Raw genomic sequence first — 27,983 nt, 5'->3', positions numbered from 1 at the left:
GTAACAACTGCTACATCTAAACTTTTTAGTTTTGGGTTTCATCTATAAACTTCCTACCACGAAGGAGGAAAAATTATCTCTCTTACATATCCCTCCCTTCTACCTACTCATGAACTTTTCCAACCCCCATCCGTCAAGTCTATTTCAGTTTTTGGTTAAATCAGTATTCAAGTATTTATATTATTATAACTACATGAATATTATTCATAACTGAGCCATATATTTTATGATTAAATTTCTTGTAAAAATTTTTGTTTTCCCTGGAGTTAAAAATTATCGATCATGGTTGATCCTTTAATTCCCCCTACAGAAGTGAAAAATGTTTAATTTTTTTCTGAAGCCTTCTGATTCAGTCTGTATGGGTTGGTCTCTAGGTCTTTCAGAACTTGCATGTCTGAAAGAATTTTTATTCTCCTCTTACAATTGACTGATACTTTGAGTATAAAACATCATTTTTCCTTTGAATTTGAAAACATTTTTCTATTGTCTGCTAGTGTGTTAGTCCATATGCATCACTATAAAGCAATACTTGAGACTGCGTAATTTATAAAGAAAAGACGTTTCATTGCCTCATGGTTTCGCAGACTGTACAGGAAGCATAGTGTTGGTATCTGCTTCTGGTGAGGCCCTCAAGAAGCTTTCAATCATGGCAGAAGGCAAAGGGAAGCAAGCACATCACAGGGGGAGAGAGAGAGCAAGAGAGACAGGGGAAGTGCCACACCCTTTTAAACAACCAGATCTTACCTGAATTGATTACTGCAGGGACAGCACCAAACTATTCATGAGGGATCCACCCACACGACCCAAACATCTCCCACCAGGCCCCACCTCCAACATTGGGGATTACAGTTCAACATGAGATTTAGAGGGGATAAAGGTCTAAACCATATCAGCTAGTTTCCATCAAGCTATTGAGAAATTTAAAGACATTCTGATTTCTAATCCCATGTATTTGACTTTTTACGTCTAAAAGCTTTTAGAATTGTATCTTTCTAGCTGCGCTTTGAAATGCTTCATTGTTTGGTGTAGGTCTTCATTTGTTGTGCAGGGTACTTAGTAGGCCTGTTATTTCTTATTATTTATTTGATAATTTTCTCTGTTTCCTTTCTTCCCTCTTAATAGAAATCTATTATTTATTATTATATTTTATTCATTCTCTGCATTTTTTGCTGTACTATTGGAAGTTTCTTAAGCTTTATCTTTCATCCTAATGGAATTTTTTAATGGCTTTTTATTTTTTTGTGAGATGTTGTTTTGCTCTTTGAATATTGCTTTTTAAATAAACACATAGTTTTTCTTGTTTCAGGGTTGCAATATTATCTCATATCTTTGGGGCTGCTTAGATTTCTTTTTTCAATGCTTCATTGTTGCGGAAAGTCAGGGACCCTGAACGGAGGGACCGGCTGAAGCCATGGCAGAAGAACGTGGATTGTGAAGATTTCATGGACATTTATTAGTTCCCCAAATTAATACTTTTATAATTTCTTACGCCTGTCTTTACTGCAATCTCTAAACATAAATTGTGAAGATTTCATGGACACTTATCACTTCCCCAATCAATACCCTTGTGATTTCCTATGCCTGTCTTTACTTTAATCTCTTAATCCTGTCATCTCGTAAACTGAGGAGGATGTATGTCGCCTCAGGACCCTGTGATGATTGCATTAACTGCACAAATTTTAGAGCATGTGTGTTTGAACAATATGAAATCTGGGCACCTTGAAAAAAGAACAGGATAACAGCAATGTTCAGGGAACAAGAGAGATAACCTTAAACTCTGACTACTGGTGAGCCGGGAGGAACACAGCCATATTTCTCTTCTTTCAAAAGCAAATGGGAGAAATATCATCGCTGAATTCTTTTTCTCAGCAAGGAACATCCCTGAGAAAGAGAATGCACCCCTGAGGGTCGGCCTCTAAAATGGCCCCCTTGGGTGTGGCCGTCTTCTATGGTCAAAACTGTAGGGATGAAATAAGCCCCAGTCTCCCATAGCGCTCCCAGGCTTATTAGGATGAGGAAATTCCCACCTAATAAATTTTGGTCAGACTGGTTGCTCTCAAACCCTATCTCCTGATAAGATGATATCAATGACAATGGTACCCGAAACTTCATTAGCAATTTTAATTTCGCCCCAGTCCTGTGGTCCTGTGATCTCGCCCTGCCTCCATTTGCCTTGTGAGATTCTATTACCTTGTGAAGCACATGATCTCTGTGACCCACACCCTATTCGTACACTCCCTCCCCTTTTGAAAATCACTAATAAAAACTTGCTGGTTTCATGGCTCGGGGGGCATCACGGAACCTACCGATATGTGATGTCTCCCCCAGACACCCAGCTTTAAAATTTCTCTCTTTTGTACTCTGTCCCTTTATTTCTCAACCTGGCTGACGCTTGGGGAAAACAGAAAAGAACCTACGTGACTACAGGGGGCAGGTTCCCCGATACTTCATTATTCTTCTTACACTTTTAATTTTTTGGAGTACTTTTTCTGTATATTTTCTGTATATTTTATATATAGTTTTTTTCTGTGTATTTTATAATGGAGGCTTCCCTCTAATGCCAGATAATATTTAAGCTTCCCATTCATATTTAATAGTGCGGCACTGGAAAGCTGATTGCAAGCTTTGTACTTAAGTTCTACCTGTTGACCAATGACTTTCTCTGTAGGGTAACAGGTAGGGACTTATTTTTAAGTGAATCATTAGCTGCCAGTATCCTTAGGTTTTTTTTTTTTTTTTTTTGCTATGTCAGTTTTCCATGAGAATCCTCTGCCTGTACAATAATAAGTCTACATGTAAACAAACCCAAAGTTGTGGACTGGAGCTTGGGGTCTCATTTTTCAGTGTGTAGGTTTCTAGTCCCTACCCCTTTCAGTTCAGCCTCCTCACCTTTCTGCTGTCCTGAGTGTGAAGGATAGCAGATGTCTATCCTTCACATTGAATCCTCTGATTCAGTGTCTCCAGAGAATAAACCTCCCATCTCTGTTGAGGTAAGGGTGGGCCGCACAGGCTCTAACTGATTCTCAAACCAACTTTAAACCAGACCTTCTGTTTTCAGCCCTATCTGCACAACTACCTTCAGAGGCATCTTGCATTTTTAATTTCTGACACTTTTGGAGTTCCTCAATGCAAGTGGAAGTTGCTTTTTTTGGCTCTCCCCTGAACTTGTAGAGTACATAGTTTTCATCTTTATTCAGTCTTCTAAGTGAATTTTCTCATGTCCATATTCTCTCTAATTTTTCCCAATTTTCTTGCCATCTCTGGTCAGCTGTTATCTTCTCTTTTTTTTCTTTTACAGTTTGTATTTTTTTAATCTATGCATTATCATTTTAGAGAAATAAGGAGAAGCAAAGATAAGCATATACATTTAATCCACTGCACTTAACTAGGAGTTTGTATTTAATAATCCACTTTAATCAGATGTCTACCTAACATTTTATTGAATCTTTTCTGCCTCCTTGCTTTTCAGGTTTTTTTTTTTTCTATTCTTGTATCTACCATGTAGGCTTGCCTATTATCTTCATTTAGCATCCTCAGGCAAAGCTATTTTTTATCATTGCCCTTCCATTGCACTGTGTACAATGCTGCTCTTGCTGCCTTGAGTACATATTGATGTAGTACAAATATGTGGATGGATGGCTGTCTTCTGTTTCTCTGGGTGGGGAATTTTTCTACACCCAGGGTCCAACATGGGGCCCGCTACTGACTCATGTTCCTTAAACTTTATTGAATGAAAAAAAAATGCCTCAGAAAATTTAATGGGAAACTCAATGCAAAGACCTGAATGTCCATGGGCCAGTCAAGCTATATTCAGTATCAGGATTTAGAAGCTTCAGAGATCATCTATTTAAACTACTTTGTTTTACAAATGAGAAAACTAAAGCCTAAATGAGGAAAATAAAACTTATTATATGGTATATAGCAGGGACTTTAATTCACATTTTCTAAGATCCTCACCCACAGATATTTCTTCCACAATCTATTTCTTTAAGCAATGACATTTTGATAACCAGAAGTCAGCATATTAATGGCTCTATTGTAAACAATACATTTTGTTTTTGTTACTGAATCTAATTACGTTTGTGAAACATGATACAGATAGCTGTGTACAAAACAAACTGAGGTTAGGAAACTTCAGCAAACCAGATAAAAGGCTGATGTTGGAAACCATGTGAAATGATAAAGATCTGAACTAAGATGGCATATGGAGAAAAATATTGATGGGATATATCAAAAAGCAGAAGAGAGAGATGCATTAAATAATAGGCAGGATAAGGAGGATGTTTGTACCATTTTCAACAATAGGGTGAGTGACACAACAGGAGAACCGTCATCTCAGACAACCACTGCCATTTTAAGTTCCAGCTCCCTTTCTAGCCTCATGCATTTCAAGGAAATCACTTCCCTTCTAATAAGGAGCAGCCAGAAAGAGCAGACAGTAAAACAAAGATAAGACAGCTCCGGCACAGGAGGAAGTGGGGGGAAAGTCTCTGCCAAACTTCACCCTCATACAATGGGCCCCGGTAAAACAGTGGGCCTTAAAAAGCTCATTCCTTTCCCTTCAGGTGCACTAAGAGGCAAGCTAAAAGCAGACTTGGGGGGTATGCCTGCAGCTGCAGGAAGATGTATGGGAACAGTCATGAAACTCTCCCTCCCAGATAAGCACAATAAAGACACAGAAGCAGTCCAAGCCTCTGATAAACTCTCCCACCCTGAATCCTTAAAAACTCTTACTTAGTCTGTAAGAGAGCAGGCTCTGACCTAACTCAGCCAGAAGCCCCTCTCAGGTTTGTTTTCTCTAAAATAAACCTGTCCTTGGCTGTCGAGCCACCTTTCATGTTTCTTTCCTCTTTAATTCTTACAGAGAGGATTTTATATAATATTATTGCAAAATAATTGGCCTTTTTTCCATGGAACCACATATACTGATTCAGAATTCATTCTCTAACAAAAATAAATCAGTGGATAATAATGAAAGTTCAGCACTACACTTAGTTAAAATGTTTCTCTAGAAGAAATAGCCTTTTTGAAAAGTATAAGCCCTGATTCCTCAGTGTGGATTCTTTGCGATATCTCATTTTAACCTCTTAACTAGTAATCTGGTTTCAAATAAGATGTGCTACAGTCCCTACCTTGGGCTCATAAGACCACAGACTTTTCCATAAAAAGAGATGAAAGGGAGATATGTGGCCATCACCACTTACAGGTGTACAAAATGTTTAACTCTCTGCAAAGGTCAGTCTTCAGTAAAACGTTACCAGGTGGTGCACTTGTAGAAGTTCCTGATTCCTCTGCTTCCAGATTTGGGCAGGGACTTTAATTCACGTTTTCTAAGATACCCACAGATCTTTCTTCCACACTGTATTTCTTTATTTTAAGCAATGACATTTCAATAAGCAGAATTCAGCAAATTCATGGCCATATTGTAAACAATACATTTTGTTTTTGTTATTGAATCTAATTACATTTGTGAAAAGTGATACAGATATCTGTGTACAAAACAAACTGGGGTTAGGAGACTTTAGCAAACCAGACAAATGGCTGCTAGGCTCATAAAACGTTAGACTTTTCCATATCAAGGGATGAAAAGGAGATATGAGGCCATCACCACTTCCAGGTGTACAAAATGTTTAACTCTCTGCAAAGGTCAGTCTTTGGTAAAATGTTACCAGGTAATGAAAATTTTGGTGAGTATATCTCTTATATTCCCTTTTCTTCCACATATTCGAGGGCATGCTGAGAAATTCATCCTTTCTTGGTTTTCATTTTGTATCTTTTCTATTTTTCCTCCTACCTCCCAGGTTATTCCTCTTCAGTCTCTTCTACAAGATCCTTGTCCTCTGCCCTACTTTAATTTTATTTATTTTGTTTTGTTTTGTTTTGAGACAGAGTCTCTCTCTGTCGCCCAGGCTGGAGTTCAGTGGCATGATACTGACTCACTGCAACATCCACCTCTCTGGCTCAAGCAATTCTCCTGCCTCAGCCTGCCAAGTAGCTGGGACTACAAGGACCTACTACCATACCTGGCTAATTTTTTTGTATTTTTAATAGAGATGGGGTTTCACCATGTTTGCAAGGCTGGTCTTGAACTCCTAACCCCAGGTGATCTGCCCGCCTTGGCCTCCCAAAGTTCTAGGATTACAGGCTTGCCTTCCTTTTAGATGCCAGGGTGTCCTGATTGTCTTTCTCAGTGAGCTGTCTCTTTATTATATTGTGTCTCAACACATTCCCTGGGTAATCTCACACCTTTCCATGGCTCCACCTACTACTACCTCTTACCTATGGACTCCAAGTCTCTGTTGAGAATTCAGACCAATCTCCTTAGCTCCAAACCTGGATTTTCTACCAAATATTATCTCCTCTAAAATTTCCACGGTCACCTACTCCTCAACATGTTTAAAATTGAATAATTTTCTCACAGATTTAATTTTCCTTTTTTGTGGCCTGGGAGTTTTCCTATTCTTGTCCCGCCCTCTGTTGCCCTCTGTTGTCCACCCTGACATCTAGTCTCCATTTGAACGTTCTAAAAATCCATTCCTTCTTTTTCTGATCACTTTTTAGTTTAGTTCCTCACTGATTTACAGTTCTATTTTTATTTTAAATTTTTTTAGATTTGGAGTCTCATTCTGTCACCCAAGCTGGAATGCAATGGCATGATCATAGCTCACTGCAGCCTTGAACTCCTGGGCTCAAGCGATCACCCTGCCCTGGCCTCCAAAAGTGTGATTACAGGCATGAGCGACCATGCCCGGCACTGATTTCCAGGTTTAGTCATTAACCACAGATGTGGGGCTAACTATGTACCCAGCACTGTGCTAAGTACATTATCTGCTTTACTTAGTTTGATCCTCATGACATTCCTATGAAATAAACGTATTGCCCTCATTTATACTGAAGATGTTAATAAACTTGACAAAAGACATAATGCTAATAAATAAAGGAGCCTCAGTTTGAAATCAGCTTTCTTTCTTTCTTTAGTTAGTTAGTTCCTCTTCGTAACAGGAGAAAACTGGGTTTTCAAAAGAATCAACTGTTAAATTAGACAATTGTCTTTTTAAAATAGTTCATGTTTTGTGTGGAGCCAGCCATGAACTAATCTAGAACAGAGCTGCTCAATAAAAATGTAGTGCTGTTATGTGAGCCACACGTGTAATTTAAAACTTTCTAGTACCCATTTTAAAAAAGAAAAAAGAAATTGGTAAAATTAATTTTTCAAATATATTTTACTTGACTCAATATGTCCAAAATATCATTTCAACAGCAAACCAAAAAAAAAAAAAAATTGTTGAGGTCAATTGTTGGCTCACGCCTGTAATCCCAGCACTTTGGGAGCCCAAGGCGGGAGGATCACTTGAGGTCAGGAGTTCAAGACCAGCCTGGCCAACATGATAAAACCCCATCTCTGCTAAAAACACAAAAATTAGCCGAGTGTGGTGGCACATGCCTGTAATTCCAGCTACTCGGGAGGCTGAGGCACAAGAATTGCTTGAACCCCAGAGGCGGAGGTTGCAGTGAGCCAAGACTGCACTACTGCACTCCAGCCTGGGTGACAGAGTGAGATTGTCACAAAAACAAAAACAAAAATTTGAGGCATTATACATTCTTTTATTGCACTAAGCTTTTGAAATCTAGTGTGTATTTTACACATACATCTCAATCAGGAGACTTTTCAATTTACTGGATTTCATAAAGTTTACAGTTGAAAATGTTTCACATATCCAAGTTATTTCAAACATACTTTAGAATGTTTCAATAGTTGAATCAAGTACAAAAAAAATTTTTTTTCTTTACTATGGACATTTATATTGACAAAACTTGTTTATCATTTTAAAGAATTGATCTAACTTTGAAGTAAAAACATATAAGATTCAAAACTAGTTCCATCCAGGTTAAGTAAATTCACTAACTGTTGTGTTAAATTGGTATTATTAACATTGATTTCAAAGAAGTATTGCATAAATTGAAAATCAACTCGAAATTTACCAATATCAAAACAGGATTCTTCAAATTTTTCTTGCAGCTTTTATGGCCAATTTGCATAATGCTGTGATTGATTCCCAAGCTTTTTTTGATAAAAGCTTCTTTATATTTGTTTCGCAAGGTGTCAGAGCCCCGGCAATGGAAGGTGGTAGGCTCGGAGGTAGAAAGAAGAATTTACCCACAGCAGTATAGGTTTGAAAGGGAAAGTTTTATTAGATAGAAAGAACACTGCAGCAGAGTGCAGTGGGGCACTTCAGCAAGAGAGGACTGAGCACACCACGATGTATTTTTCCTTAGGGGCATTTATGGACCTTGAAGAGGGAGCTTAAGGGTAATTTGGGCCATATTACCCACCTAGGCCATAATAAATAATTACATTTGTAGACATTTTGGTGCCTTGATGTCAGCAAGGGTTGCACAACGAGTTTCGACATGTGTGCATTCCAGAGATGTATAGAAATTTTTGTTACTTATAAATTTTTGGGAAAGAAGTCAGGTACTCAATGCCAGCTTTAGATAATAGGGACATGTAATTACTTCTAAATTCCTCAGAGAAGGAGTTTTGCCTCTGGATGGTCTGCTTAATGGCCACCACCAGGTGGTCTTTGCTCTCCTCATTTTCCCCTAATAAATATCTTGGTCAAATCTTTGACCCTTTGTATACCCTCATGCTCCTGTCTACCTGCTGCCTATTAGGGTCTCCAGAAAGGGAAAACAGCACGGTGAAGGGGAGCATCAAATCTGTCTGGCTACTTCTGCATGAAGGAAATGAAGGGTCATGAAAAACTTGTCCATGGGCCAGGGTGGAAGGAATGGTGGGGGACCAGATTCCATCAAGAGGCCCCATGTAAATGGAAGTTGCTGTTGCAGGCTGGTATTGGGCTTGCAAGGTCATCTATAGGTGAAATCATTATAATCTAGAAGATATAAACTTAATGAGAGTGGTAAAAAGGCAGGGACCAAATAGTAAAAGAAGAATGATGAGGAATAAAGGTCCAAGGAATGGGAGAAGCCAAGTGATTTTTGGAAACCAACCAGTAAAGGTTTTGGCCCAGTTTTGATTACTTTGAGAAAGTATATGCTAGCTCACTTTGGCTATCACTTATTTTTGCATTTCATGTCCAATATAATCTCACGGGAAAACATCCACCCAGTCCAGTCTCCGTGATCCTTTGATGTCTTCTGACAGAGCAAGTGATGGCTCTCTAGTGAGTGACTTTGATAAAAGCCTGTCTAGTCAAACCCCAGAAGAAACTGAACATTGGTGGATGATGGATTTGGGTTCCAAATGGACTATGAATGTTGTGTCAGTCACCAACTGAAGAGAATGTATTCATGGACAAATAAAGACACTTGCGATTTTAATTGGGTACTCACTTGCTCAGAGTGGCAAGACAAATTCCAGGTAAGGGTTGAAATTTTAAGTGTTAAAAATATCAAGTTAACAACTCATTAAGCTTTCATATCATTTTATGCCCATTCAGCAGTAGTTCTTATTTCCACTTATAGTTTGAAGAATTAACTGCAGACAGCGTTCTTAACATTTGTATAATCTAGCTATATGGAAATACACTATTCTCAAGTGAATATTTAATATATTCATCAAGTTGGTCTTTCAGCTTGCTAAAATGAAACTCATTTCTTGCAGGTAAAATGGGCATTTAATAACATTTACCAGTAATTTGCTTACAACAATTAATTCAGTCAAAATCACCCAAGCAGTTGATACATATTATTATATACTACATCTTTTTCTAGAATTAAAAAATTAATGTGTAGTGCCAGCCCTAGATGTAAGTTACATATATCAACTCTATCCAATTTTGTCAGCCATAAAACTTACCTTTTTCACATACTTCTAACTCTAACAATGTGAGAAATGTAGATCATTGCAATTATACCCACAAGGCAGATGGCTACATGCAGAATGGATAGCAGAATCTAGCTACTTACGCTAGCCACATGGTAGACGTTTTTTCCTTTGTTTTTGCAAAATTGCAATATAAGTTGCATATCGTTAGAGTGAAAGATGTAAAGAACCCATAGAAGCAGTGATGAAGGACATTTATATTTTCAACTTACAAAAGACCTTAAAATTGCCTATGTGGAGCAGAACTGAGGAGGGCAAACATCGTAAAAATTTTGTTCTATTTGATTTGGCACATATACTCACAGTACTTTGTTAACTTCTTAAAAATATCTATTTGGAAAAACAGTTTATAAATATGAGAATAATGTAATGATTACCCAGAAGCCTACAAAATTTCCTTTTTATTGTTATCTGTAAACTGTTTGCAAGGTATTTTAATTTCCTGTTGGTCATTAATTATTGCTACAACTGCATAGTTAATGTAGTTAATATTTCAATATTATCTCTAATGTTGTCTCACAGGAAACATATAACTCAGTCTATCACCTTCAATCAATCCAGATCACTTGAGAAAGCCATTGTATTAGAAAAAATTACATATATTCAAAAACCAATGAGAGGCAGATCCCTGGTATATGGTGGATTTGGGCTTTTCAGAAAAATTTGCTTCAGTCACCAACCAAAGAAATTGTTGCCACGAATAAACAAATGAAGCTATAATTCTAGTTGGAGATTTATTTGAAAATGGTACCACATTAAATCCCAGGTACGAATCCAAGTTTTGAGTTCTAGAAGGATCATGGCATGCTTATCCTTTTTGTTTTCACCAACCCTGAGAGGTAGTCTACATTCCAAGATTAGAACATAATGAAGTTAGAAGGGCTGCATTCTATGAGGCAGGGAGAATTAGACATGGAATTACAGAGCTTTTCATTGCAATTTCCATGACTGTTATTTATGTGAACTTACACAAATCTAAGGATCACTCTGAGCCACAGTTTCTTTATCCTATTCTGAAATCTCTTTAAAGGACTTGAGTCCAAGCTCTCTCCCACACTGCAAGACCCCACTGCAATGGCTCCTATAGCTGCTGCCATGGCCTCCTCCAATCAAGTCAGCCTTACTATCTTAAAAAAAGTAAATAAGGGCAGCTAAACGCCATGGCAAATGTATACCTATGTAACAAACCTGCACGTTCTGCACATGTATCCCAGAACTTAAAGTAAAATTTAAAAAAAAGAAAAAATAAATAAATAATAACATCTCTTTAAAAATAACTGTCTTTCCATTTTTGTGCCATCACCAATTTAGTTACTGGGACTACACCAGCAGACACAATAGGTAAAAATCCCTGCTGTCATGGACATAACATTCAACTGGGAATAAACAGAAAAAAATCAGATATGTGTGTGTGTGTGTGTGTGTGTGTGTGTGCGCGTGCGTGCGCGCGCGCACGCGCATGTGCCAAATAGCTCTAAATACAGTACAGTCAGACAGGGTGGGGGAAGGGGTTGCAATTTTTTTTTTTTTTTGAGACAGAGTTTCACTCTTGTTGCCCAGCCTGGAGTGCAATGGCGCAATCTCGGCTCACTGCAACCTCTGCCCTCTGGGTTCAAGTAATTATCCTGCCGCAGCCTTCCGCGTAGCTGGGATTACAGGCATGCGCCACCATGCCCGGCTAACTTTGTATTTTTAGTAGAGACAGGGTTTCACCATGTTGGTCAGGCTGGTCTGGAACTCCTGACCTCAGGTGATCCACCTGTCTCAGCCTCCCAAAGTACTGGGATTACAGGTGTGAGCCACCGCACCTGGCAGGGGTTGCAATTTTTAATAGAGCGGTCAGAGAAGACTTTACTAAAGCAACATTGAGTAAAGCCTGAAGGAGGTGAGAAAATGAGCAATGAAGTATATGAGAGAGGAGTATTCAAGGTAGGAGAGTGGCAAGTGCAAAAGCTATGAAATGGGACCATTCTGTACTACTTAGTTCAGGCTGCCATCACAGAGCACCATCAACTGGGTGGCTTAAACAACATAAATTTATTTCTCATAGTTCTGAAAGCTTGGAAGTCCAAGATCAAGGTGCTGGCATGGTAGGTTTTATTCTGAGGCCTGGTCTCTTGGCTTATAGGTGGCTGTCATCTCATTGTGCTCACATAACCTTCTTAGTGCATGCATGAGCAGGAGAAAAAGAGAAAGCAAGCTCTCCGGTGTCTCCTCTTACAAAGGCCCTAATCCCATTATGAAAGTCCCACCCTTATGATCTCATCTAACCCTAATTACCTCCCAAAGGCCTCATCTTCACATATCATCACATTGGAGAAAGGGGCTTCAACATATTAATTTAGGGAGACACAAACATTCAGTTCATAACACGTCTAGTGTGTTGAAGAAATATCCAGAAGGCCAGTGAAGCTAAAGCAGACTTGGTGAAGGAAACAATGGTAGGACATGAGATCAGAGGGTCTGTTAGCTTGAAATATTGGGAACTACTGGAAAAGCATTACCCTTATTGTAAATGAGATGGGAGCCACTGAAGGGTTTTGAACTAAGAGGTAATATAATCTGAATTATGATTTAAAAGGGGCATTTTATCTGTTGTAAGGAGCATAACCTATAGGGTGCAAGAATGCAAGAGATGATGGTCATTTGAACCAGAGTGGTAGCAATAGCAATGGTGAGAAGCAGTTGGATTCTGGATGTATTTTGAAGGTAAAGCCAACCTATTGGAAATTAGAGAGGGATTAGATGTACAGTATAAAAGAGAAAGAAGAGTTAACTGTAGCTTGAGAAACTAGAGTTGTGAAGGGATGTACTTGTCATTATTGATGTGGGGAAGACTAGGGGAGGAGCAGGATTAAGAAGGGGGCAGAGAAAAACAGGAGTGTGGTTTTGGACATGTTAAACTGAAAATTTGTATTAGACATCCAGGTGGAAATGTCAGGTAGGCAGTTGTACATAAAATTCTTGAGGTTAGGGGAAAGGTCAAAGCTGGAAATATATATATATATATATCAGTGTCACCAGCATATAGATCGTATTTGAGGCTTTGAGCTCTACGAGATCATCAAGGAAGTGAGCATACCTAAAAAATAGAAGACGGCTAGGTATGAGCTGACAGGTGAAAGAAAAAAAAAGAAAAATAAATAAAAATAAATAAATAGATGATCCCTGAGCCACCTCAACATCTAGAGACCATAAATGTAAAGAAAACATTTATAAGAAAAAAATGTTTCAACTGTGAACTGAGTATCAGTATGGGTGTTAATACACGTCATTGGCCACATTAACAAGAGTAATTTTCAAGAAGTGGAGGGTCTGAAAGATTGGTCAGTGTGAGTTTAAAGAGAATGTGAGTTGAGAAAAGGAAGGCAATAAATATAGGCAGTGATTTAAAGAGTCCATAAAGAGAGGCATCTGGAGAGTATTTTGTTTATTTTGCTTAAAATAGGAAGCCATGGCAGCATGTCCGTATGCTGGTGGAATCATCAAGTAGAGAGAGAAGAATTGATGCTGCATTAGAGAGAGGGAGCAATTGCAGGAACAATGTGTTGAGTGGGAGAGATGGGATGCCATCCAGATGCAGATGGAGGCGTTGATCTTAAACAAGCAGGGATGGATCCATCACTGAAGCAAGAGGAAAGGAGAAGACAGAAGTATAGATGCACAAAGTAAGTAACTGGAATGTCTCAATAAAATGATTCTTGGACTGGGTGTAAAATCGTCTGAAAATTTTGCTAACAACACAGATGCTTAGGCTCACTTTAAACTTACTAACAAGAATTCATGGGGATAGAGAGAACATGTCCCAAAGAGGGAAGGCCCAGGGGAAAGAGAAAAATCTCAGTGTGACTGAAGCAGAGAATTTGAGAATAGTGATCAGAGATGCGTTAAAGCAGGTAAGATTTTTATAACTTGGATATGGGGGAAGAAAGAAAGTCTCTGGGTTGGCTAACACAGATGGCAGAGCTATATATCCAAGAAAAAAATTGCTGAAGAAATAGCAGAATAAGGGATGAAAGTTGTTAAATTATGGACATGTTGAGCTTAGGCATCTGTGTGACCTCCATGAGCTGCTCATTTAGTTTTTTTAACATTGTTTTTGTACTTGGAGGATTACAATTTTCATTATTGGGTGAACTAGTCTAATAACAAATGGGCTAAATATTCTTTATTAGAATTTACTATCTACCCCCTGACTGACACACACACACACACACACACACACACACACACACACACACACGACAGTCATTTAACAGATCTACTGATTCTCAGCCAATCTACTGACTGGCTGACCTAACTGACTCATTTCTTCTGACAAATTTTGTCTATAGACATCATCATTCTCTTTTCTACACATTTCTAGGGAATATTTTCTAAGGTACGTCATAAGCCACCTTTTCCATTTGTCATTCATTACACATTAAGCTTAATTTCTTCTTCAGCATATTTTGTTTAGCATATTTAGATATTAAACTTTTACACAATTCAAGATGGTAACATTATGAGACATTAAGGATTCTAAAAAACTTAAGTGCCTGTACCATAAGCAAATGAATATGATTAAAAGAATATGCTGGGGCTGGGTGTAATCCCAGCACTTTGGGAGGCCAAGGAGGGAGGATCACTTGAGGTCAGGAGTTTGAGACTAGCCTGGCCAACATGTGAAACCCCATCTCTACTGAAAATACAAAACTCGCTGGGTGTGGTGGTGCATGCCTGCAGTCCCAGCTACTCGGGAGGCTGAAGCAGGAGAATTGCTTGAAACCTGGAGGTGGAGTTTGCAGCGAGCAGAGGTCATGCTACTGCACTGCAGCCTGGGCAACAGAACAAGACTCCATCTGAAAAAAGAAAAAAAAAAAAGAATATTCTGGGACCCTAGAATAAATATATTAACCATGGTATAAACTTCTTTCTTCCTATGTATGCATCTACTGGTAGTGTGAGAGCAGAGCGTTTAATTGAATTATTATGGGAATATAGAAAATCAAGATAAAATATAATAAGTAACATGGTTTATATTGATTCTACTGAGTATCACATGCCTAATGAATCCTCTTTGATATGATTTGCAATGTCTTTCAAAATTATTTAAATAACTTCACACAAGATACTGTGCTGTGAAATCAAAGCTTCCATTACTTACATTAATTTGATACTGGAAACACAGAATCTTAGGTACCTAAGTCTGAAGTTGTCATATTTTTCTTTTTACCTTCTAGTTGTCACACTATTATTACAAAATTCACTTTGTATGTCAAAATAAATTTTGTGTTTTATATATAAAGAAGACTAAATAATATATTGACAAAATAAGAGTCTTGCTTGCATTATTTACAATTTAAGTACTCGTCCATTATTGTAGATAAGTCATACAGGTAAATATTCTTTGCCCACTTTCCTTGTTACCTCCTTTCTTCTCTTTAACCCTCATATCCATAGATGAGCTTTGCACTTAGCCAGTAATGCCACTCACAGCTAACCTCCTTTCCTCCATCCTCTCAAAACTGGAGAAGAGCTCTTGCAATCTCTGTTCTTTAACTGTTTATTTATCAGTTAATTGAATGCCATAGAAAAATTTCTTGGCCTCCCCACCTAAGCTATCTGCAAGCTAAGGATCTAGAAATGAAGTCATGGTGTAAAGGAAGAAAATTATAGCAAAATTCAATGGTAGACTTCCACTTCCACAAAAATAGAGTTGATGTACTTTTTCCTATTCTTCATGCTAAGTACACCAGAAACCTTGGATATTATATATAAAACAAACATAAGAAGACTCTGAGAGGTGGAGAGAAAAACACAGACAAATGAGGAGACTTAGAATGCAGTGAATAACATAGTCGTGAGTTTCCTAGGTCTTCCTCTGGCCTCATATATCCCAGATGTGGAACTGAAGAAAGTGGCAGTCTGGAAACACTACAGGTGCAGACAAAACAATTCCCAACAAAAGCCTGCTGTCTCTATCCAGAGGACTAGGAAAGGGCAGCTTAGTAAGAAAACTTTTAGATAAGAACTGCTGTATTCCAGCCAAATATCACGGAAAAAAATTAGCTCTACCACCACCACCAGCAGCAAAAGCTGAGTGGAATCCCAGATTTACATCCTTGCCAGGCTGTCAGAAGGTCCTCCAAAGGCCCCCACCCCGGGATGGTATCAGAGAGGGCCAAGTGGAGAGTCAGAAATTTTATCTTCACTGGGTGATAAGCACCTGCTCCCCCCGCCACAACACACACACACTCACCCAGGTTGTTAGTGGAGACTAGATGGGAACCTGAACTTTTACTCCCACATGACAGTAACTAGGCACCCCTACCACTACCCGCTGGGGTCGTGACAACAGAGTCCTACTAGAGAATCAGGACTTCCCCAACCACCCAGTCAGTAATATTAAAGCCGTGAAAACATACTCTCACCACAGCATCAGGGGAAGCCACCCAGGGTGCAGGTACTCCAATTCCTCCCAGCTAAGGAGTTATCAGTGAAGACCTCATGGGCAGCTAGAATTTCCACTCTTACACAGCAGGAATGAGGAGCATCTACACTGGATGCCAGCAGAGGCTGAGTGGGAGACCTAGATTTCTTCTACCTGGCAGCAATGAGACAGTGCTCCTCCCTTTCTCTGCCAGAGTGATGTTCAAGGACAAAAGAGAAGGTTAAAATAAAATCTACAGTCTCATTGCATAATACTCAAATGTCCAGATTTCAATAGAAAATCACAGTATTTCAAGGAACATACAGAACTCAAACTGAATGAAAAAGACAATCAATAGATGCCAACATTGAGGTATGGAGATGTTAGAATGATCTTTTTCAAGCAGCTGTCAAAAAAATATTTCAATGAGAAATTATAAACACATTTGAAACAAAAAATTAAAAGTCTCAGCAAAATAATAGAAGATACAAAAAGCTATACAGGGGATTTTAAGGGCAGCGAAATTATTCTGTATGATACTACAATGGTAGATACATATCATTACACATTTTTCAAAACCCATGGAATGTACATCAAGAATGAGCCCTAATGTAAACTATAGACATTTGTTGATAAAGATGTGTCGATGTAGATTCATCAATCGTAACAAATGTATGACTCTGGTGTGGAATGTTGATAGTAGGAGAGGCTGTGCATGTGTGGGAGCAAGAGATGTATGGGAATTCTCTGTATTTTCTGCTTAATTTTGCTGTGAACCCCAAACAACTCTAAAAAATAACATATATTTAAAAATAGAAAACTTATAACTAGAAAATCATTTTATTAAAAATTTTAAAAACTGTGTATAGGTATAATGCAAAATGTAGAAGACAAAAGAAAAAAACAGTAAACTTAAAAATAGAATAAAAATTACTCAATCTGAACAATAGAAAAAAATAGACCACAAAAAGTAAATAGAGCCTCAGGGACTCATGAGAATGTAACAGAACATCCAACATTTTTGTCATTTGAATCCTGAAAGGAGAAAGAGAGCTGAATATGTACTCAAAGAAATAATACCTGAAACTTTGCAAATTTGCCAAAATACATAAACCAACAGAATCAATAAGCTAAATGAACTCCAAAGAGGAAAACCCCACAAAAATTTACATCAAGACACATCAGAGTCAAACTTCTGAAGACTAAAGAGAAAGGAAAAGTCTTCAAAGCAATGAGAGGTAAACACCTTATATAGAGGAGAAAACAATTCCAAGAAGAGTGTATTTCTCATCAGAGACCATGAAAGCCAGAAAAATATGGCACAACAATTTTCTAGTGCTGAAGGAAAATAACTGACATCCCAGAATTTTATATACAGCAAAAATATCCTTTATGAATCAAGGTGAAATTGAGATATTCTCAAATCATAGAAAACGAATATAATTTTTCCCAGCAAACCCCTTTAAGATAATGGCTCAAGGACATTCTCTAACCAGAAAGGCGGGGGTGGAAAAGAGAAGCCCTGAAACATTACCAAGGAAGAAAGAATATGGTAAGCAAAAACGTAAGTAATTACAATGCACTTTTCTTTTCCTCTTGAGTTTCCATACTTCTATTTGATGGTTAAAACAAAAATTACAACACTATCTGATGTGGTTCTAAATTTTCACAGAGACAATTACTGGGAATGATAGTAAGAGGAAAACAAATAATTTTTTGAAAAGACAATTATAAATTGGGGAGGATAAAGGAATATAAACGGAAGTAACATTTCTGTACTTTGCTTGAATTGGTAAAATGATGACTCCAGTAGACCATAATAAGTTATGTATATATAACACCTACAGCAATAATTTTAAAAGCTATTACATAGGGATACACTACAAATACAGTAGATAAACCAAAACAGAATTCTACAAAACTTTCAAGTAACCCACAGGAAGGCAAAACATAAAAATAAAAAATAAAACACAAAAATGAAAAACAGAACAAACAGAAAACAAAATAAAACAAGAAGGCAAACTTAAGACTTAACATATTATTGATTACATTAAATGTAAATGGGCCAAATAAAATAATTAAAAGAAATCTTGGCAGAGTCGACTTAAAAACATGACCCAAATATATGATGTCTATAAGAAATTCATTTCAAATATAAAGATATAGGCAGGTAGAAAGTAAATGGATGCAAAAATTTACATCATGCAAACATTAATCAAAGACAAATGCTGCATGATCTCACTTATATGTGGAATCTAAAAAAGTCAAACTCATAAAAACAGAGAGCAGAATAGTGACTGATGGGAGATGCCCATCAAAGGGTATGAAATTTCAGTTAGACAGGAGGATTTACGTTCTGGAGATCTATTGTACAGCATGGTGACTATAAAATTTATAATATAATGTATACTTGAAAACTTCTAAGAGAGTAGATCTTAAATTATTCTCATCATAAAAAAAGATAAGCATATGAAATCATGGATATGTTAATTAGCTTGATTTAATTATTGCACAATGTATACATGCAGTAAAACATTATGTTTCATGCCATAAATATATACTATCAACCCATAAATGTATACTAACTATTAAGGTTTAATTTGTTATTATAGGCTTTTGTCAATTAAACCTTAATAAAGCTGAAAATATAAAATAAATTTTAAAAACTCTATCACATGATTTTCCAACCATTCTCCCTTCCAATTCTAATTTCCAGTGCCTTGATATGGGTTTACATAAATCCCTGTTCTTCCTTTAAAACATACTGTGGGCCAGGCATGGTGGCTCATGCCTGTAATGCCAGGACTCTGGGAGGCCAAGGTGGGCGGATCACGAGGTCAGGAGTTAAAGACCAGCCTGACCAACATGGTTAACCCGCCTCTACTAAAAATACAAAAATTAGCCAGGCGCAGTGGCTTGCACCTATAATTCCAGCTACTCAGGAGGCTGAGGCAGGAGAATCCTTGAACCTGGGAGGCGGAGGTTGCAGTGAGCCGAGATCACGCCATTGCACTCCAGCCTGGGCAACAGAGCAAGATGCCGTCTCAAAAAAAAAAAAAACACATATTGTGTATATTTATTTCTCTATTTAAGTAAATTACTATAATTTAATTTAAAGTGTCTGTCTTGGCTGGGCATGGTGGCTCACACCTGTAATCCCAGCACTTTGGGAGGCCGAGGTGGGTGGATCACGAGGCCAGCTGTTCAAGACCAGCCTGGCCAACATAGTGAAACCCCATCTCTACTAAAAATACAAAAAATTAGCTGGGCATGGTGGCAGTTGCCTGTAATCCCAGCTACTCAGGAGGCTGAGGCAGGAGAATCGCTTTAACCCTGGAGGCAGAGATTGCAGTGAGCCGAGATCACACCACTACACTCCAGCCTGGGCGACAGAACAAGACTCTGTCTCAAAAATAATAATAATAATAATAATAATAATAATAAAATAAAGTATCTGCCTTTTCCAGTAAAAACTCTACATCTAGTAAAAGTATTATTTGCCAATCACTAACATAGCAACCTAAACCCTACAGGCTTTTAACATACACTGTATTTGATAATTAATGAACAATCTTACTGGTTGATATAAGTGTATCTGTGTTCTTTCTCACATGCGTATTTATTGTAAATGCTTGAGAATAAGTAAGGCAACCAAATGTAAAATTATTTCAGCACAGTTTTGGAAACCATACAATAGCGAGCCATCAAGAATAGCATTCCTTAATACCACACACCATACATCCCCTTGACATATTTCCCACTTGTGTCATATGCTAAAGAATGAAAATGATAGAAGAGCATAATCTGGCTTAGAAATGATAGATTCTAGGATATTTGAAGGTATTAGTTTATATCTTCACACAAATATTCCAAGTTAATTAAATGTATTATATTAGTTTCTGTCCTCACATGAAAATTTCAATAAAGAGCCACCATGTTTCACTTAAAAAAAGAAGCATCAGTGACTGTATTAATATCAGACAAAGTGGACTTCAGAACATAAAAAAAAACCCCAGAGACAAAGAGGGACACTATGTAATGATAAAGGTCAATCAACCAAGGAGACATATCTATCCTAAATGTGTATGTACCAAATAGCAGAGTTGAAAAATATGTGCAGCAAAGACAAATAGAAATAAAATAAAAAATTGACAAATCCGCAGTTGTAATTGGAAATGTCAATACCTCTCCTTCAATAATTGATAGAACTAGACAGAAAATCGGCAAGGTGATAGATGAATTCAACACCATCAACCAACAGGATTTTATCAACGTTTATAGAACACTCCATCCAACAACAGCAGAAAACATATTCTTTGCAAGTGCTCAAGGAATATGTAATAAGATAGATCATATCCCAGGCCATAAAACAAACCTAAAAATGTTTTTTTTTTAATTTAAATCATACAGAATGTGTTCTCTAACCACTGAGGAATTAAACTAACAATCAATAACAGAAAGATAACAGGAAAACCTCCAAACACTTGGAGACCAAACAACACATTTTATATTGTTCTCTTTCAAAGAAAAAGTTTCAAGGGCAATAAAAATGCATTTAATTGAATGAACACACAACATGCCAAATTTGTAGGCTAAAACCAAAGCATTGCTAAAAAGGAACTTTATACCACTAAATTACATACATTAGAAAAGAGGAATCTCAAAGTATTAATCTAAGCTGTCTTCTCAGAAACACAGAAAAGAAACAGCAAAGTAAACCCAAAGCTAGCAGATGGAAGAAAATAATAAGGATGGGCTGGGAGCAGTGGCCCACACCTGTAATCTCAGTTGTTTGGGGGGCCAAGGTGGGAAGATCACTTGAGACCAGAAGATCAAGACCCGTCCAGGTAACATAGCAAGACCCTACCTCTACAAAAAAGTACAAAAAATTAGCTGGGAAGGGTGGTGCATGCCTGTAGTCCCAGCTACTTGGGAGGCTGAGGTGGGAGGACTGCTTGAGCCTAAGGGTTCAAGGTTGCAATGAGCCATGATTCTACCACTGTACTCCAGCCTGGGCAACAGAGCAAGACCCTGTCTCAAAAAATAACAATAAATAAATAAAATGTATAATTTTTAAAAAAGAAAATAATAAGGATAAGAGCAGAAATAAATGAAAACAGGCAATACAGAAAAATCAATGTGAAAATCATTCTTTGAAAAGGTCAATAAAATTGACAAACCTCTTGAAAAGTTGTTTTAAAAAAGAGAAAAGACACAAATTACCAACATCAAGAATAAAATAGGAGATAGTGCTTCAGACCCTACACACATTAAAAGCATAATAAGGAAACCAATCCATACACATAAATTTGGCAACTTAGATAAAATAGATGAATTTTTATTTTATTCTATTTTATCAAAGATAGAATTATCTTAGATATCAAAATTATCTTAGATAAAATAGAACACAAACTACCAGAACTCACCAAAATGAAATATATGCTGATAGACTGATAAGTATTAAGAAAATTGACTTCGAATTTTTTAAAACTCTCCAAGAAGAAATCTCTTCAGGCTTAGATGGTTTCATTCAAGAATTCTACCAAACATTAAAGAAGAATTAATGCCAACTCTACACAATCTCTTCCAGAAAACAGAAAGGGAGAAAATTTTTTCTCAATTAATTTTATAAATCTAGAATTATCTTGATATCCATACAAGACAAAAACAGCACAAGAAAGAGAGAAATAAAAAAGAAAGAATGAGGAAAAGATATTAACTACAGACCAATATTTCATGAACACAGATAAAAAATCTTTAATAAAATACTAGCAAGTAGAATTTAGCAATATATAAAAAGAATGATAAACAACTACCAAGTGGGGTTTATTTCAGGATACAAGGATGGTTCAATATTGAAAAATCAATTAATATCATTTATCACATCAACAGAAAATTACACAATATTATCAACTGATGCAGAAAAAGCATTTGTTAATATTCACAATTCATTAATGATAAAAATTCTCATAAAATGAGAAAGATGGGGGAAATTTTTTAACTTGACAAATATCATCTACAAAGAAACTACAGCAAACATGATATTTAATGGTGAAAGACTGAATCTTGTGGACCCCAAGATTGAAAATAATGTCTGCTCTCACCAGTTGACTATGTTAGTCAACATAGTCCTGGACATTACAGCCACTGAATAAGGGAAGAAGAAAAATGAAAGGCATATATCTCAGTGAAAACGATATTAAACTGTCCTTACTTACAGATTACATGATCGTTTGTGTAGAAAATTTTAAAGCATCTATGAAAAGGGTCTTGGAACTAATAAGGGAGTTCAGCATGGTCACTGACCCAAGATCAACATATAAAAATTAATTCTATTTCTGTATACCAGCAATAAATATATGAACATCAAAATTTAAAATACAATATCATTTATAATCACTCAAAAAATGAAATACTTAGGTATACATCTAAGAAAATATGTATATTATTTTAATGCTAAAAATTACAAAACAGTGATAAATAAAATCTAGAGACTGTCAGGCCTCTGAGCCCAAGCTAAGCCATCATATCACCTGTGACCTGCACATATACATCCAGATGACCTGAAGCAACTGAAGAACCACAAAAGAAGTGAAAATAGTCAGTTCCTGCCTTAACTGATGACACACCACCACTGTGATTTGTTCCTGCCCCACTCTAACTGATCAATGGACCTTGTGACATTCCTTCTCCTGGACAATGAATCTCAGGAGCTCCCCAGTGAGCACCTTGTGACCCCCACCCCTGCCCGCAAGAGAAAAACCCCCATTAACTGTAATTTTCCACTACCTACCCAAATCCTATAAAACTGCCCCACCCCTACCTCCCTTTGCTGACTCCTTTTTCACTCAGTCCACCTGCACCCAGGAGATTAAAAAGCTTTATTGCTCACACAAAGCCTGTTTGGTGGTCTCTTCACATGGACACACGTAACAGAAACAAATCAGCAAAATGGTGTAATAGGAAGTCACCCACTCATATCCTCTCAAAATTTGTCTGCATTCATCCACAGACAAGTCTCTGTGGTAGGAAGGTAGGAAGGTAGGAAGGTAGGAAGGTAGGAAGCTATGAATCCCTGGTGGAGCCCAAGAGCCAGAAAGACTGTTTTGAGAGTGCAGACCAACAGCCAGGTGGCAGACCTGCTGATCATGCCCCTGGGATTTAAATCTAGAAACAGCCTTGTTTCCCAAAAGGCTTAGGTACAGTCCTGTTTATCCTTGAACCAAAACAATTTGCCAAGGGGTCCAGGAGGAATCATGCACATTAGTACCTTGGCAGAAAGGCTCGTCTGCCCACTGACAACGGTCTTGGAAGTGAATTTGAAAGTTACCTTGTAACTGGGCTCCAGTCCTCCTCATCTGGGATCCCAGCTTATTACTGTTTGTGCAAGAACTCAAGAGAAAGACTCACCAATATCTCACAGTCTAGGGATTACACATGTCAGTCATGTAAGCCTACATGATGGGCACATCAGCCTCCATCCCAAAGCAGATCCTGAGGGGGCCCAATCAACTCCAGCTCCTCAGTCTGGGAACTGTCCCATTTGTGCAGGAAATGACTGTGGGATGTGCACCCACCTGACCTACTGGGGTGAACTCACTGGCCTTGATCTCACAGTGAATTCTGAGGGGAACTAGTCTCAACTTCAGCATCTCCTGAGAACTGCTGGGAGGCTTGCATATCTGGGCCACCAGCCCCCATCCCACAGCAGGTACAGAGGCGGCCCAGGCTCAGCTCCATCTTCTCCTGCTGCAGTTGGGGAACTGGCCTGGAAGCCTCGCCTGTCTGGGCCTATGGGACAGGCTTCCAGACTTGGGTCCCTGGCCAATATTCTCACTCAACTTGGGTACATGCCTTGGATCTTCACCAGGTCCATCTCTGCCAGAGTGCATGCCAACTATGGAACTTTTGTGAAACTGACAACAAATATGGGCTTAGGGCACCCTCTAGTGTCGGAACAGCTGCACTGGTCAGAGTCTTTCATAACAGTCGGCTTGGATAACTGAACAGGCCCACTGAAGAAGCATGGGAACATTTAAAGCCAGACTGTGAAGATTAAAATAAATACCTAATTTTTCGATGTGCAGACATCGAAGTGCAGCCACAATCACCAAGTACAATCGGAATTATGACCTCACTAAACAGGCAAAATAAGGGGCTAGTGACAAATCCCAAAGAGAAGATGTGTGACCTATTAGACAAGGAATTCAAAATAGCAGTGTAAGAAAAAAAATTGCATGGAACCACAAAAGACCCTGAATAGCCAAAGCAATCTTGAGCAAAGAAAAAGAAAGCTGGAGGCATCACAGTAGCTGACTTCAAAATATACTGCAAAACTATTGTAACCAAAACAGCATGGCACTGGAATAAAAAAAAAGAATCACAATGACCAGTGGAATAGAATAGAGAACATAGAAATAAATGCACATATTTACAGCCAACTAATTTTCAATAAAAGTGCCAAGAACACACAATGGGAAAAGGACAGTCTAATAAATGGTGCTTGAAAAACTGGATATATATGCAGAAGAATGAAACTAGATCCTTATCTCACCAACTGCAAAATCAGCTCAAAATAGATTAAAGACTTAAACGTAGCCAGGTGGTGGTGCACATCCATAGACCCAGTTACTCAGGAGGCTGAGGCAGGAGGATCACTTGAGCCCAAGAGTTCAAGGCCAGCCTGGGCAACACAGTGGACATAGTGAGTTCCTATCTCTTAAAAAAAAAAGACTTAAACAAAAGATCCAAAACTACAAGAATAAAATATAGGGTAAATGGGCTGGGTGCAGTGACTCATGCCTGTAATCCCAGCACTCTGGGAGGTCAAGGTGGGTGGATCACTTGAGGTCAGGAGTTTGAGACCAGCCTGGCCAACATGGTGAAACCCCACCTCTACTAAAAATACAAACATTAGTCAGGTGTGATGGTATGTGCTTGTAATCCCAGCTACTTGGGAGGCTGAGGCATGAGAATCACTTGAACCCAGGAGGCGGAGGTTGCAGTGAGCCAAGATCATGTCACTGCACTCCAGCATGGCAGACTCTGTCTCAAAACATCTATCTATCTATCTGTCTGTCTGTCTGTCTATCTATCTATCTATCTATCTATCTATCTATCTATCTCTGGGAAATGGTTCATGGCATTTGTCTGGAGCAAGAATTTTTTTGATAAGACCTCAAAAACACAGGCAACAAAAGCAAAAATAGGTGAATGCAATTACATCAAACTAAAAAGCTTCTGCACAGCAAAGGAAATAGACCAAAGAGAAAGCCTATAGAGTGGGAGAAAATACCTGCAAACTATGCATCTGACAAGGGGTTAATATCTGGATTATACAAAGAACTCAAACAGCCCTACAGCAACCCAAAAAATCCAAAACCCAACTTAAAAATGGGCAAGAAGCCTGAGTAGACATTTCTCCAAAGAAGACATACAGATGACCAAAGGGATATGGAAAATGCTCAGCATCACTAATCAGGGAAATGCAAATCAAAACCACAATGAGATATATTACCTCATCTCAGTTAAAATGGCTTTCATCAAAGAGATAAAAAAATAACAAATGCTGATGCTGATGAGGATGTGGAAAAAGGGGAACTTTAATACACTGTTGGTGGGAATGTAAATTAGTACCAGACATTAGGGAAAACAGTATGGAGGTTTTCTCAAAAAATTAAAAACAGAGCTACCATATGATCTAACAATACTACTACTGGGTATATATCAAAAAATTTAAAAATAGAATTAATATGTCAAGGAAGGGCTGGGCGCGGTGGCTCACACCTGTAATCCCAGCACTTTGGGAGGCCGAGGCGGGCGGATCACGAGGTCAGGAGATCGAGACCATCCTGGCTAAAACGGTGAAACCCTGTCTCTACTAAAAATACAAAAAATTAGCCGGGCGTAGTGGCGGGCGCCTGTAGTCCCAGCTACTTGGGAGGCTGAGGCAGGAGAATGGCGTGAACCCGGGAGGCGGAGCTTGCAGTGAGCCGAGATCCCGCCACTGCACTCCAGCCTGGGCGACAGAGCGAGACTCCGTCTCAAAAAAAAAAAAAAAAAAAAAAAAAAAATATATATATATATGTCAAGGAGATACCTGCACCCCATGTTTATTGCAGCACTATTCACAGTAGTCAAGATATGGAATCAACCATCAACCTAAGTGTACATCAACAGATAAATAGATTTTTTTTTTGAGATGAAATCTTGCTCTGTAGCCCAGGCTAGAGTGCAGTGGCGCAATCTTGGCTTACTGCAGTCTCCACCTCCTGGGTTCTAGCAATTCTTCTGTCTCAGCCTCCCAATTAGCTGGGACTACAGGCACCTATCACCATGCCTGGCTATTTTTTTTTTTTTTTTTTTTGTATTTTTAGTAGAGACAGGGTTTCACCATGTTGGCCAGACTGGTTTTGAACTTCTAACCTCAAGTGATCTGCCTGCCTTGGCCTCCCAAAGTGCTGGGATTACAGGTGTGAGCCACCACACCTAGCCTGATATATAGTTTTTTTAAAATGTGATATATATAGATATATATATGTATACACACATACACAATGGTATATTATTCAACCATAAAAAACAATGAAATCCTATCATTTGTGGCAACATAATGAACCTAGAGGACATTATGTTAAGTTAAATAAACCAGGTACAGTAAAACAAATTCTCACTCATATGTGGAATATAAAAGAGATGGAGTAGAGAGTAGAATAGTGGTTACCAGAGGCTGGATAGTGTAGAGGATAGGAAAGAATGGGGAGAAGTTGATCGATGGGTAAAAAGGTACAGTTAGACAGGAGGAATAAGTTCTGGTGTTCTATTGCATAGTAGGGTAAAAATAGTTAACAATAATGTATTGTACATTTCAAAATTGCTAGAAGAGAGAATTTTGAATGTTTTAACAACAATAAATGATAAATGTTTGAGGTGATATATATACTAATTACTAGATTTAATCATTTTAAATGTATACACATATCAAAGCATCACATGTACCCCATAACTATGCATAGTTACTATTTGTCAATTTAAAAAATTTTAAAGATCTAAATAAATGGAGAGACATACCATGTTCATGAATTGGGAGATGCACTATAGTAATGATGTCAATCGTCCCCAAATTGTATAGGTTTAATGTAATGTCAGTCAAAATGCCAGTAATATTTTAAAAGGCATAGGCAATATTATTCTAGAATTAATGTGGAATGCCAAAGGACCTAGATTAGCTAAAGCAGTTCTGAAATATTGCATATTTCTCACTTATAAGTGGGAGCTAAACATTGAGTACATACGGACATAAAGATGGGAATAAGAGACACTGAGTACTACTAGAGGGGGAGGATTGGAGGGGAAAGGGCTGGAAAACTGCCTATTGGGTACTATACTCATTACCTGCATGACAAGAGAGGTCATTTATACACCCAACCTCAGTGACATGCAATTTACCCATGTAACAAACCTGCTCATGTATGCCCTGAACCTGAAATAAAAGTTGAGAATAAATATAGAGAACAAAGCAAGAAAGCATACCTCTCTGTCTAATAGAAGTTTCAAAAGGAAAGAATAGAGAGTATGAGAATGAGGCAATATTTGAAGAGCTAGTAGTTGACAATATTCAGAAATGGTGAAAGAAACCAATCCTCATAGTCAAAATTATCAGTGAATCACAAGTAGAATAAATAAAAATAAATATCCACCTAGAAACTCTGTGGTAGAACT

General features: G+C 38.0%; 1 protein-coding gene and 1 long non-coding RNA gene across 2 annotated transcripts in view, besides 2 other annotated features; one reads left to right on the top strand and one right to left on the bottom strand.

Annotated features, from left to right (window-relative positions):
• The window catches only part of LOC105369669 (uncharacterized), a 36,138-nt gene extending 22,570 nt beyond the window's left edge, over positions 1–13,568 (top strand). Inside the window, exon 3 of the mRNA XM_047429947.1 lies at positions 13,299–13,568. Within this exon, the coding sequence (XP_047285903.1) occupies positions 13,299–13,369 (71 nt within the window). The 3' untranslated portion in view covers positions 13,370–13,568. The remainder of the gene's footprint in view (positions 1–13,298) is intronic.
• The window catches only part of GUCY2C-AS1 (GUCY2C antisense RNA 1), a 70,584-nt gene continuing 54,469 nt past the window's right edge, over positions 11,869–27,983 (bottom strand). Inside the window, exon 6 of the long non-coding RNA NR_186173.1 lies at positions 11,869–14,691. This is a non-coding gene — a long non-coding RNA (GUCY2C antisense RNA 1). The remainder of the gene's footprint in view (positions 14,692–27,983) is intronic.
• Positions 19,236–19,416: a silencer, noted in NCBI's record as "fragment chr12:14881606-14881786 (GRCh37/hg19 assembly coordinates)". NCBI's record gives its function as "represses an EF-1alpha promoter that drives an FKBP-Casp9 reporter gene in an ReSE screen in K562 erythroleukemia cells {active_cell/tissue: K562}" and the evidence as "EXISTENCE:reporter gene assay evidence [ECO:0000049][PMID:32094911]".
• Positions 23,938–24,127: an enhancer, noted in NCBI's record as "active region_6051". NCBI's record gives its function as "activates an Ori minimal core promoter by ATAC-STARR-seq in GM12878 lymphoblastoid cells {active_cell/tissue: GM12878}" and the evidence as "EXISTENCE:reporter gene assay evidence [ECO:0000049][PMID:35858748]".

Source organism: Homo sapiens, chromosome 12 (genome assembly GCF_000001405.40).
Source record: "Homo sapiens chromosome 12, GRCh38.p14 Primary Assembly".
NCBI classification, from domain to species: domain Eukaryota; kingdom Metazoa; phylum Chordata; class Mammalia; order Primates; family Hominidae; genus Homo; species Homo sapiens.
This window is presented reverse-complemented; position numbering and strand designations above follow the sequence as displayed.